This window comes from Homo sapiens, chromosome 6, assembly GCF_000001405.40.
Source record: "Homo sapiens chromosome 6, GRCh38.p14 Primary Assembly".
Classification (NCBI taxonomy): domain Eukaryota; kingdom Metazoa; phylum Chordata; class Mammalia; order Primates; family Hominidae; genus Homo; species Homo sapiens.
Genome location: NC_000006.12, coordinates 56,748,204 through 56,761,592, shown reverse-complemented (window position 1 = coordinate 56,761,592; position 13,389 = coordinate 56,748,204). Strand labels below are relative to the sequence as shown.

Below are 13,389 nucleotides of genomic sequence, written 5' to 3'. Positions count from 1 at the left end.
AGAAGGGCTGAGAACCACTCTACTATGCTGTTTAACTTGTGTAGTTGGAATTTGAAAACATTTGTGGTGTTTAGTAAAATTATAGCTTGGTTAAATTCCTATTATCAATGATAAAAACCACAATTACTTTTGCACCAACATAACATGGTGTGCATTTATCTGACCAGTAGCAGCTTTCAGTACTGGACTGCTTGGGTTTGATCCTGGCTCAGTCACTTGTTAGCTGGGTTAGTTATTTCTAGCCGTATAACAATTTGCCCCCCACTTGGCAGCTAAATCAGTAAGCGTTTAATAACTCTGTGGGCCACGAATTTGGGAGTGGCTTAAGTGAGAGTAAGGTTAAAGTTCAGATGTTGCCCAGGGCTGCTGTCCTCTGAAGGCTTGACTGGGGCTGGAAGATCTGCTTCCAAGATGGCTCACTCACTGGCAGAGGGCAGGAGGGCCTCCCTTGCCACGTGGGCCTCTCCACAGTGCTGTTTAAGTGTCTTCAAGACATGGCAACTGGCTTCCCCCAGGGTAAGTGATGTAGAAATCAAGAAAGAAACCACATTGCTTTTTATGACCTAGTCTCAGAACTCTAACACAGTTACTTTAGTTATATTCCATTAATTAGTGTCCCTACATGCACAGTGATTGGAATTAGCTCTTGAAGGGAGAAGTTTCCATGTATGGACATGTTTTAAAACCACCACATGAGTTGTCTGTGCAGTTTCACTACACTTTTTTTTGTTTAATCTCAGTCTCATCCATAAAAGGGAGATTTAATTATACTATCCACTTTATGTTGTTATTGAAGGATCTGATGACTTTAATACATGAAAAGTACTCAAAACAATTCCTGGCATATAATAAGTGCTCAGCAAATGCTACCTTTTATTACTTAAAGATATGTTTAGTAGTATTCAAGGTAGTAATTCCTATATTGACAGAATAAGGGAAAATCAAGGATGCATTTTCAGCCACCTTATGGGCAAGAGCTGGGGGCAAATATAATACTTGCTTGTATTTATAATTACCCTGGCACCAAATGCCTTTATCTATGGCCTGATCAGCTTGCTTTTTACTTAACCAAATTCTGGCCAAAAGATCTGAGCTCATAAATATCTGAAAGCTGATACACATTAGAGTTTAAAAAGGAAGAAGATTAAGCATCATTACACAGTGGGTCTTACTGGGGTTTAGTGGCTGATACACATGGAGAGACATACAAAAAATAAAGTAGTATTAAGAGATGCTGGAAACTAATTTTAAATAAGTTTTAAATAAGATACATTAAAAGGTGTATTTTAATAATTCATTCTCAAAGTTGTTTAATGTCCTTACCCATATTACCCCAAAACATGGCTTAATCATGTGGCATTTCTTAGCAGTTCATTCTATGGATTTGCTATTAAATTATTTGCCTCTAGGTACATATTTCAAAGTTAGATATGTGTCTTTGAATATATTTAGAAATGTTCAGACTTGTGCAATTTTCTTTTAAATTTGTGTTCTCTCAAAGTTATTTTCTTTTTTGCTTTTGGGGGACATGGAAGAACCAAAATATCCTTTATATGCTTTTATTTTTTGAGTGGGTATAAGGAGATAGAAATCCTATTATTTGTTAATTTAAAAAATAAAAGGATTTTGACATATGCAGTGCATACTCTATGGTTGGACCACAAAATGATTCTGTGAAACTATTAGATTCTTCAAGGACTCACTTTGCTTAGAGGACAAGAATGGCAGGTGGAAGGAGTGCTCTTTGCCTTGCCTAGAGTGTAGTGTCTTTGATGGGGAGTAGCTGTTTAATGAGAGGCTTTAGGACACATCCAGTCAGATTCACACGCGCCTCTGGAACTCTTTGTTTTCAGGCTGCAGTTCCTTGGCTGTGTCAGCATCTTTATTGTCTGAGCTCAGAAACCCCTTAGTGCACCAAACCAGGAAGGGAAACTGGCAGCATGCAAATGACTGACAAAGGGATTGTAATATATTAGAGGTCTCTGATAGTCATTAAAAATTTTGAATGGAAAAAAATATGCCAGCAGTTAATAATATCAAATAAATTAAAACTACAAAGTCATTCCTGTAGCTGTAAAATTAGTTTCTTGAGATAGACGTTTTTGCTACTTGTGGTTTTTGATTTATTTATTTATTTATTGGGATGGAGTCTCTCACTCTGTCACCCAGGCTGGAGTGCAGTGGTGCAATCATGGCTCACTGCAACCTCTGCCTCCCCGATTAAAGCAATTCTCCTTCCTCAGCCTCCTGAGTAGCTGGGACTACAGGCATGTGCCACCATGCCTGGCTAATTTTTTTTGTCTTTTTAATAGAGACAGGGTTTCACCATGTTGGCCAGGCTCTCCAACTCCTGACCTCAAGTGATCCGCCCACTTCGGCCTCCCAGAGTGCTGGGATTACAGGCGTGAGCCACTGCGCCTGGGCTGATTTATTTTTAAATATTGGGGTACATAAGTATTCTTTATAAATTTGCTGCAGTGACCCACAATAATAGTGGCTTTAAATGATCATTTGTATTTCCACTTATGTAGCAGTCGAGAGGTGGGGAGTGCAGGATGATAATGCAGCTCAGCTTCATGAGGTCAGCCAGGGCTGGTATGATGCTCAGGGTCAGGCGCTGTATGGGTTTTAAAACATGTGTGCAACTTCTTTGCTGCTTTTCCCATTGTGCACTCTGGTTGAATCTGGTTGGGCACCTGGCTCTCTTGTAACCAGTAGAATACCACATGACTTTCATGGTTATGTCAGGAAAGGTGATGCAGCCTCTGCCTTGCTGCTGGGTCCGTTGCTTTTAGAACCTTGAATTACCACAAAGTAGTTTGACTACCTTGAAGCTGCCATTCAGTGAGAAAGTCAGGCCACATGTAGATGACACCTGTGGCTGTTCTCGCTGACTGCTTCAAATGAGGTTCCAGCCAATAGTTAACATCAGCCACCAGCCATGTGAGTGAGGATGCCTCCAGATGATTCCAGTCCCCAGTGGTCAAGCCACCCAGCTGTTGAGTGTTACTAGCTGAGGCCCAGACATCATGGAACAGCAGCAACCTGCCCCCCTTGTACCTGGTTTGAATTTCTGACCTACAGAATTCTTGAACATAAAAAAATGGTTGGTTTTCATAGTTGAATTCCAGTGTAGTTTGTCACATAGTAACTGGAACAGGGACCCAGGTTCCTTTTGTCACATTGCTTTGCCATCTAGGTTGTTACTCTTACATGTTTTTTTAGATGTTTCACCACCACATCTGCATTCCAGCCATCTGGATTGAAGAAGTACAAAAAAAGGCACTGTATTCCCCTTCAAGGGCCCTCCTCAGAAGTAGCACAGTCACTTCTGTTCTCATCTCAATGGCCACAGCTGAACTGGAACATAGCCACATCTAGCTCAAGGAAGGCTGGGAAATGTGTATTTATTCCTTGTGTATTTGCACCTAGCTAATAATTAGAGAATTTGTTTCTTTGAGAAAGAAGGATACAAGGATATGGGGAAAAGTTTCTGCTACAGTTGTACGCGCTTGATTATACCAAGTTCTTTACTTTGTGCTGTATTAATGGTAGTTGTTTCTTTCCTGGGAAATTTTCCATTTCAAAGAGCTCTTAGTAGTAGGTTTGTTGGAAAGCATTGTATTTGTGGGTAGGATTAGGTTGGCTAATATTGGTTCTATTTTGCACATGAAAATGAAACAATAGTAACTTTAAGAGAAGGAAGTTTACTTTTCTCTTACTTGAGAGAAGTCCAGCAGGAGGCAGTCCAGGACTGGCATGGTTATAGCCACCATCCACAGAGGCTCCTTACTTCTTGTTCCTGCAGACTTAGGCTGCTGCTTTGTGGTCCTAGATGGCTGCTTGAGCCATATTCATCGGGTCTGTGTCCCCAGCCAGTAGAAAGGAGGAGGGAAGGAAGAAGGGGCAAGGGGCTCATGCCAGATGTCTTACAAAGAAAATTTCTAGAAGCTGCCATATAACACATTAGCTTTTATTTCATTTACTGGAACTTTGTTATTGAAAGTAAGGCTGGGGAGGTGTAGTTTTATTCCAGGCTACCATGTGTCCCCATCAGAATCAGGGTTTCTTTTACTAGGAAATGTAGCACAGCTCACAGCTGTGAGTCCACAGCTCACATCATATTCCTTATACTGTCAATTTGAAAAGAGCTATGTGGTTTGCCAGAACTTGGGCCACACTGTATATTGCACCATAAACAGAATGGTTAGAAACTGTGCATTTCAGAATGTTGTGATTTACGTTTGTGTTCACATAAAACTTCAGCCATTCTTTCCCCATTATTATAAACACTTGGGTTTGTAGGGACATCTGATGTTTACTGGCAGATGACATGCCATGTACAGACTGTCAGTGTTTTAGCCTCAACTCTCAAAGCCTTTCCTGAAAAAAATAAATCCCATTTCTAGTGTATACATAATAGGGCCATCTGTCACTGTTTCTCAGTTGTTTAAAGTTGCATTGTTTGAAGTCCTGCTTTTCTAAAAGTGTATTTTTTTTTCTTCCTGGAACCATCTCTGTTCCTTTGCTTTAAAATGAAAATAGTCTGAATGAGTATTTTAGCCCTTTCTGGAATGAGACTGAGCTTGCTGCAAGGCATTGATTCATCCAGTATCACATACAGTTGCTGAGAGCTTTTGTCTTATTAATACTTCTCTTGAAAAAAGACCATGACTCTTTGTTGTTCTCTGTATAAAACCAACTTTTCTGCCCTGTGTACTAGGCTTGAAAGATTTAATTCATGATTGAACTTGGAAATGCAGAGAAAATATTGTCTTTTATGGCTGATCTAGTCATCTTTATGAGTTTCACCTTCTGATTAGTGAGAAAATGTACTAAAATTGAATCTGTTTTAAAGCATAGTCTGATGTGGCAAATCGAACAGTCTCCTCTGATCTTTGTTCTGTCTTAGATAAAAATGCTTGGTTGTTGAAGGCAGCTTCCTCTCCCTCTCTTTTTCTCTGCGTGTCTTGAGGGAGAGATGTGGCTTTTGCAACCTTGCATTTCTGGGGAAAACACTGTGCTCATTCCTGCCAGCGTCTTTATCCTGGCTTTTAGGACCCCTGCTTCCTGGGTGATTTGTACCCCTTTTCTGTCTTGGATGCCTGGCACCTTGTGGGCCACTGATTCTTAAGTCAGCTACCAGTGAACTCTGGCCCATTCTTGTGACTCAGGCCGTGTCCCACATTGATGTGACTTCCCCTTGGCTTTCCACTAGTGCTCCACACCCATCTGCAGTCTTTCTGGGATGCTTGATTGTTCCTGGCCCATGTGATCTTCTCTGTATCCCTTGCTAGAGAGCCCCCTCTCCCTGCTAGGATGACCCCTCTGGGAGGTGTCCCAGCCAGACACACAGACACTTCTGTGTCTGGTCTGTACCAAGCAGAACCAAGGGTAGCCTCCTTTACACGGTACCAGATAGGGAGTGGGTCAAGAGCCCCCTGTGCCTTCCACATCACTCCTTATTCACTGAATGCACCTCCTCCTCTCAGGGCCAAAGCCTGAACAGGAAAAATTAGTCTTGACTCCCCTCTTGACTCCGTCGTCTTTCTCCTACATATACTATATCATATCCTCCTTTTAGCTAGCCCTATGGCTCTGCTGTCATCGCTGGAAGTGGCGTGTCTTTTCTACCCTGGAGAAGAGCTAGATCAGGCCCCTGATTAAAAGGAGGCAGGGAAGGGAGACAGAAATAAAAGCAATTTGGAAACATCTTTCCAGGCAATAGTATGGCTAGCAAGGCTATGTGTCTTGCTGAATAATCCTATTTTATAAACCAGAAATGGTTATTCCTGTCTTTTTATAGAATTTCTATAATCTCTTTTTTAGGCTGATAAACACTTCATGCCAAAAGGCAAAAGAGAAAATGGGAATAAATTTCAAAATATTATTTTATAATACTTGCCTTAAAGTCTACCAAAATTTTTGTCTTCTTAAACTTTACATCATCAAAGTCAGTCTCTGAGCTAGTAGTGTTTAGCAAGAATAGGGGATTTGGTAATCTGAAGACCTGTGATCAAGCCTTGATTACGAGATCAGTGATAAGGATAAGCTGCTCTCATTGAGTAGTACCTCAGTTTCTTCATCTTTAAATGTAAGTATCTGCCTTACTTACAGAGTATATGTGAATGTAAAGTGGGGTAATTACATGAAAGTATTCTGCCAATGCAGTGTGATTTTATTAATACTAGTTTCCTTGTCTCACATTATGCTCATTTCCATTTGTGTATTTCTGCTACTGCTACCTACAATTGTCTTCTTAAATTTTACATAATCAAAGTCAGTCTCTGAGCTTCTAGCTACCCACAACTGTGCAACTCCTGTACAACTCCTCCTGCGTGCCCACAGGTCTGTTACAAGTACTCAGGGTTACACTGGTAACTCTTCTCTCAGTCCCTATTCTGCATGTAGTCAACCGGTTTCCTATTTAGTGTCTAATGTCTTGTTTTTTTTTTTTTTATTTTCTTCATTAGATTTGAAATGACTTGATGGCAAGGAATATATACTTTATATATGTTTTATACATTTCATACATTTTCTGGTATTTTTTATAGTCCTGGAATGTACTTCGGAGCTGAAAAAAATAGACATTACTTGGTATTACTATAAGCTAGTGAAATAGAAGGGATAATCCAATTATATTTTCTTTATAATCCTGTTGTTTATCTCATTCCTTTCTGATTCTGAAGAGTACCTAACTTCTGAATAACTTATACTAACTGAAATTATTCAGGACTTATGAACTAAAGAACATATGTTTAATTTAAATACTTTATCCATATCTAGTTTTGACTGTTAGAAAATATTTTTAGGTTTTACAAATTTATCTTGGAACCATGAAGTCATTTATTTTACCACACTAAAATATTCATGGGTCAAAGATTTAATTTTTTAATTTTTTTTAAGAGTTGATTTGTTTGAATCCAGCTCTAATATATGTAACATTTTTATTTTAGTGGCTGTGTTTACATAGCTCTTGGATCTTTTCAGGGGCTATATCTTCAGTTTCTGTAATTCAGCAGATTTTGTCTATATTTTGCTAATAAATATTTATGAGGTTGCCATGTGGGAGAAACTAGTGATAATGAGAATGGTCTGTATTTAGAAGCAATTGAGCACATTTACTCTCAAGGACCTGTGATAGATGACATGCTAAAGTAGATTAAATGAAGTCTGGATCTCTCAATTAAGAACATAGAACTTAGAAAGAATCAGTCACACAGACCCCATCGCAGAAATAAAATTTCATAGAAAAATTGTATAAATTCAGACAGAAATCTGCCTTTATTATGAATGTTACTTATTTTGTTTACACTTTTTAAAAGGTTAGCATCTACAAATAAGTTACGTATTTCTTTTGTTGAATTAATTGATTTCCTTTTAGAAGTTGTACTTTATAAATAAGTTACTTTACTCTTACCAGAGATCACTTGGAATGGCATCTATCACTATATATTCTTCAGTTTCTTTCTTATTCCTATTGCTAAAAGAAACCGAAAGTCATTTCTTTTGTAATTGAAAATTTCATTATCAGTGGTATGAAGTGAATTTCCAAAATGGCTCATGTAAACAAAAAGCTCCATTTTAAGAAGCATTACTGTGTTCTTTGTTCTAGGCTGCATTTTGGAACCATGGACATTTCACTGGCTATGCTGTTATGCTGTTACTCTAACTGGACAATCAGTTGTGTTTTAAGGGTAGACATAACTATGAACAAGTGTCTAGTTAATGAATATGCCTCCATGATACATGTCCTGTTGCCACTTCCAAACCTCATTTTGTTAACTTGTGCTTACTCATTTCATTTTTTTCCTAAACATTTTCTCCAGAGAACTTTGGTTAACTTAATTTAAAACAATAGGTTTCTTGGAGTCCCATTTGATAATTCTGTGGTTACTAAAGTAGATAGAGATTAGCAGAAGCCAGAAGGATGCCTCTGATGTTGCCATTACTAGATTGCAGGAAATATTTGAGATCAATGCATTTAAGTCTATCAAATAGCACTAAGAAGAACTACAGTTTTATGTTAAGCATTCTCTTAGGTGCATAACATTCATTATTTCTTTTTAGCTTCTATGCAAGTGTTTGAAATGGGTGCTATTTATCCCTATTTTACAGATGATGCAAATAAATCTTAGGGAGTCTTTAATAAGACTGTTGCTTTAGCCAATAGAGTTAGTAGCAGAGTGGGGATTTGAGGTCTGGTATTTCTGCCTTTGAAGTTGGTGCTCTCTAAACTGAGAGGAAAATGCTTATATGCAGCCATTTGAATGTTCTGTTCACTGTTTTCTGTTGCCTTCCTGATAGACTCCCAGCTTTTTAGCATGGCATATCTTTGTAGGTGTTTTATTCTAGTGTAGCCATTCATGACTCTTCTGTATGCATTGCATACCATATCCACTCTCACAGTTATGCCTTCTTCTACCTTATACTCGCCATATCACTGCCTCCTACGTAAAACCACACAAATACAAATCAAAGAGATGAAACAGATAGATAAACTCAGTCTTGTGGTGGCTCACACCTGTAATCCCAGCACTTTGGGAGGCCGAGGCGGGTGGACCACCTGAGGTCAGGAGTTCGAGACCAGCCTGACCAACATGGAGAAACCCCGTCTCTACTAAAAATACAAAATTAGCCAGGTGTGGTGGTGCATGTCTGTAATCCCAGCTACTCAGGAGGCTGAGGCAGGAGAATTGCTTGAACCCGGGAGGCAGAGGTTGCGGTGAGCTGAGATCGTGCCATTGCCCTTCAGCCTGGGCAACAAGAGCAAAACTCCGTCTCAAAAAAAACAAAAAAAACAAAAAAACTCAATCTTGTTTATAGTAATACAAACTGCTATTGTATTGGAAAGTGTCCAAACAGCCTTAGTAGGTGATTGAATAAACAAACTGGTAAGTCCATACAGTCAAATGCCTCTCCATAATCACAAGGAACAAATCACTGGTACATGTAATAGTGTGGATGAGTCCCAAATGTATTATGCTGAGTGAAAGAAGCTAGATTCAAATGACTGCATGCATATATTTATGTGAAACATAGAACAACCAGAGCTAATCAATCTACAGTGTCAGAAATCAGGTTGCCTGTGGGAGTGGGGGTGGGTATTAATGGCAAAGAGGCACAAGATAACTTTGTTGGGGGATGAAAATGTTCTTTATCTTGTTTTGGGTGCGGGTTACAGGATGCAAACAATTCTCAAAACTTTTTGAACAGAACACTTAAAATTTACTTATTTTATGTTAGTTGTACCTTGATTTAAAAAAAAAAAGCATAAAATCAAGCCAAGCTCTTTTTGCATAGTTCTGTCATAGCACTTACCATGCAGTTTTGCAAATTCTGGCTTCCTAGTCTGTCTCCCATTGGACTAAGACAGGATGACTCATGATGCCTTTTTGTATTGCCAGTGCTTAGCACTTGCCTGGTGCTTAGTGGGTTTTCAAGAGATGCTTGTTGACTGAATGGAATGCTACCTTGTTAAAAAGCCTGGCCCATTAAAAAAAAAAAAGAATAGTTTGGAAATACTGGAGACCCACTTGTGTGCTTGATACAAGCTTTAGAAGCATGGAAATCTAAGCTTCATAAGAGTTGTGATTCAAGCCATTATTAACTTATAGAGATTTGTATGCAAAAAGTGTAGACTGAGTTTCTACATTTTTAGTAATTTGCTTTGAGCTTTTCTAGTCAGGTGTCAGGTGATGCCTGAAGTTTAAAATTCTATAATATCCCTATTCTACCCTCCTCTCTTCTCTTTTATTTTGGAATGATTTTGGCCTGGAGCAGATCCCTGAGTCATACCTGTGGCTTTAGGAGTCTTGAAATTACTTCATTATGGAAAAAAATTTTAGTTTCTAAGTTTAATTTCGTAGTTATACAGAAGCTGCTAAATGCTCACTTGGTCTGTAGGTAATGGGCCACATGGTGGTTCTCTATTCTCTGAGGGAACCCAGTGGCTTATTATCTCTTGGGAAAAATTCCATAGCATTTTAAATGGCTGCCTGAACCTGGGATTGCAGCTTTAACCCTGTATGTTCAAGCTGACACCAGCAGTAGTGTCACACATTTTAAAAAGTATTGTACAAATTGAGAGATTCTCAAAACCAAAATATCACAAGAATGCCTGCTGTAAAAAAATAATTGTTAAAAAATAGATATTCTTTGAAGAAAAATTGGAAGAAAAAAGATGAAAATAAAAATTACTGATTATCTTACCACCTACATTTAATTACTAATGTTATATTGGCATATCCCCTTATAATCTTTTTTCTTAGGCACTTCCAAGCATTTTTTCCCTATTGGTGACGTCTATTTAATCAATGCGTAATCTTTTTTTGTGGCTCTATGATAACTGACTTGATAATTTTTCTATTCTTGGATGTTTAGGATGTTTTTCTACTAGTAGCTAATAATAATAGCTAAAAAATATTGACTATTAACAGGCATGACTTGCATTTAATGTTAAAATAAATATTTTCTTGTTTTGATCTTCATCTGAAGTTTGGATTTTTTTTTAGATTCCAGAACCTGAAGCATTGGGGGTTAAGAGCATGGATTCTGGGGCCTTGAACAAATTACTTAACTTCTGAATGCCTCTTTTTAAAATCTGTAACAGAGGAACAATAACCATCTGCTGTTGTGAAAAATGTAAATGCTTGGGACAGGGCCTGGCATATAGTCAGTGCTATATAAATATGAGACATTGGCTTATAGAACACAAAACATTATGAACACTTTTAAAGCTTTTGCTCAGTATTGCCAAATTCTGGAAAGGTTATACCAGTGGAGTCTCCCATCAGTGCTATCTCAGGGTGATTGTTTTTACCACACAGAATTAGCTATTAGGAAAACTTCCTCAGTATGTGTCTGTTGCTATTGGCACATCATTCATTCTTTCTTCTTTACTAGCCCTGATTTTTGTTAGATAATTTATCTACTTCTTAATAAAAGTGTGGAAACAAAGAAAAATGCATTTCCTCTTCTTTTCTTTTGCATATTTTCTTTTTTTTGTCTTAGGGACTAGAAGGTGACTATGTTACTTTCTCATGAAGATAGATAGGAGGGACTGTGGAATTTGAAAGTTTGAGACCACTCTTCTCATAGTAGGCAATAAAGAAGCGTATATTATTTTTAAAATGTCTGTAAGGAGATCTCAGAAAGGTGTCCAGTTCTTCAAAGTTTGCCTTTGGTTTTCAGGACAAGCAAGTGGACAAGGCAAGAGTTCACTATAAAGTTAAGGTATGGTGCTTGCTTTGGCAGCACATATACTAAAATTGGAACGATACAGAAAGTTGAGGTATGGAGATGATCAACCCAAGGTGATATTCTCTAGTGGGTAAACTCTTCTCCTCTGACTCCAGTCAGAGCTACTTTATCTCTGTCTGTTTTACATGTTGTGTTTTGGGTATTGACTGGGAGAATGAGTCCTTAGCTAAAACAGGTTTGAAGATCTTTTTACCAAGAGGAATTAAGCCTCAGAGAGAAGTCTGCGGGCACCCCACACACTTAACATTTAATGTGTGCCTTTCCTTTTGCTCATCTGTACTCCTGGGTGTGGCTGCAGGGAGAGGGGTGCAGCGATGGTGGTGGTAGCGGCAGAGCCCTTCTGGGATGGTGTTGGGTTAGTGTGGTTGTGTTGAGTGTGGTTCCTAAAGCCCACTGGGGCATGCATGGTGATCCTGTAACTAAAGCAGTTGTCCATACCAGCTGTAAACTACAGTTAAATAAGCAACTTTAAGTGGGAGGCCATGTGATTATGAACAAACCCAGAATGAAAATTTTTTCCAGTGGTTCAGAGCAGTTGTCTTTGGTGTTCTCCACCCATTTATTCCTGCTGATGACTCACTCTGTGACTGGCCCTGTTCTATTATAGGAATGAAAAGCATTACACATGTGAATCATACCTGTAATTTCCATTGCCTTAAAAAATGTGGCCTCACAACCTGAAAAAATACTCTTAAACTCCCTGGTCAAATTAAAGAGACCACAGTGATATGAAAGTAGTTACTAAGAATTCTAGATCACTTTTTTTCATGAAAAATGGAACTTCTTATATGAATATTAGGCCGTGTATTAAGGTATATCTGATTTTATTCCTTAGGCCGTATTCATGGTACCAGTCCATACTTATCAAGAAAAACTGATTATGTTCAGGGTAAACGGAATTAGAGCATTCCACTGTGTAGTAACCTACAGTATCAGAGAAAGGCAAGAGCTCCCAAGCTCTTATTTTTTATTTTTTTGAGACACAGTCATACTCTGTCACCCAGGCTGGAGTGCAGTGGCCCAATCTCGTCTCACTGCAACCTCTGCCTCCCGGGTTAAAGCGATTCTCCTGCCTCAGCCTCCTGAGTACCTGGGACTGCAGGTGCACACCACCACGCCTGGCCAATTTTTTGTATTTTTAGTAGAGACGAGGTTTCACCATGTTGGCCAGCCTTAAACTCCTGACCTGAGGTGATCTGCCCGCCCAAAATGCTGGGATTACAGGCCTGAGCCACTGCGCCCGGCCCAAGCTCTTATTTTTGACCTTGTATTGATTTATACCATCACCTTGAGAAGAATGAAAATTTCTCTGTACCTTTTTCTAATTTACAATATAGGGGACTTTTATGCAGTTTATTTAGTGAACGGCTTGATCCTAAACAGCCAAGGACATTTTATTTTGGTTTTTCTTTTTCTGGAATTGATATAGTAAGAAATCACATCTGTTTATCTTATGTCCTGTCCTAGTTCCTTGATGTTGGAGACTGTATGGGTTTGATTCACCCTTACCTCTTAATTTTGTACAGTGGAAAAGGTATTAGAATATCCGGGCCAAATTCCAGCTCTGCTGTTTCCTTGCTTACAGAAATCTTGGGCTAGGTTATGTTCTTTGAAATTTATTTTTAAAAAATCAATAAGAAGAGGATGATGATCCATAAAGACAGTAGTAAGATTGTTGTGAGATGATGTGAAATTCTGTAGTGTATAGTGTTGTGATTTTGACGTTTATTGCATGTTCTGGATAAGAATTTGCTGATTTAATTGAAGTGTCTAGGAAGCCAGTGTATTTCTTGAGAGCCTACTACATAATCTTAATTATACTCTATTATCGTATTTAGTGCTTATAAGAATACTGTGTGAATAGGTGTCTAGTAATACCTATGATTCTGTTTTATAGATGAGAAAACTTGAGTTGCACAGAAGTTAAATCATTTTCCCAAGCTGAAATTGCTAGCCAGTTTTGATGCTAATATTTGAACCTAGGTTTATGTAGATTCCTTGCCTCCTACTGATTCCTAAATCTTGTTTTTTGTCCTTACCATAGCTGCCTACCAAAGCCTACCAAATACAATCTAGTGAAGCCATATACAGGGTATACAACCATATACAACCATAACCATATATGAA

The 13,389-nt window shown here is 38.5% G+C and overlaps 1 protein-coding gene across 9 annotated transcripts in view, besides 3 other annotated features; it reads left to right on the top strand.

Annotated features, from left to right (window-relative positions):
* The window catches only part of DST (dystonin), a 496,835-nt gene that overhangs the window by 193,238 nt on the left and 290,208 nt on the right, over nucleotides 1–13,389 (top strand). The gene's annotated exons all lie outside the window — the stretch shown is intronic.
* Nucleotides 1,559–2,115: an enhancer, noted in NCBI's record as "NANOG hESC enhancer chr6:56624276-56624832 (GRCh37/hg19 assembly coordinates)". NCBI's record gives its function as "activates a minimal SCP1, AML or CMV promoter by ChIP-STARR-seq in naive H9 embryonic stem cells {active_cell/tissue: H9 hESC(naive)}" and the evidence as "EXISTENCE:reporter gene assay evidence [ECO:0000049][PMID:30033119]".
* Nucleotides 3,797–3,846: a silencer, noted in NCBI's record as "silent region_17296". NCBI's record gives its function as "represses an Ori minimal core promoter by ATAC-STARR-seq in GM12878 lymphoblastoid cells {active_cell/tissue: GM12878}" and the evidence as "EXISTENCE:reporter gene assay evidence [ECO:0000049][PMID:35858748]".
* Nucleotides 9,124–9,707: an enhancer, noted in NCBI's record as "NANOG hESC enhancer chr6:56616684-56617267 (GRCh37/hg19 assembly coordinates)". NCBI's record gives its function as "activates a minimal SCP1, AML or CMV promoter by ChIP-STARR-seq in naive H9 embryonic stem cells {active_cell/tissue: H9 hESC(naive)}" and the evidence as "EXISTENCE:reporter gene assay evidence [ECO:0000049][PMID:30033119]".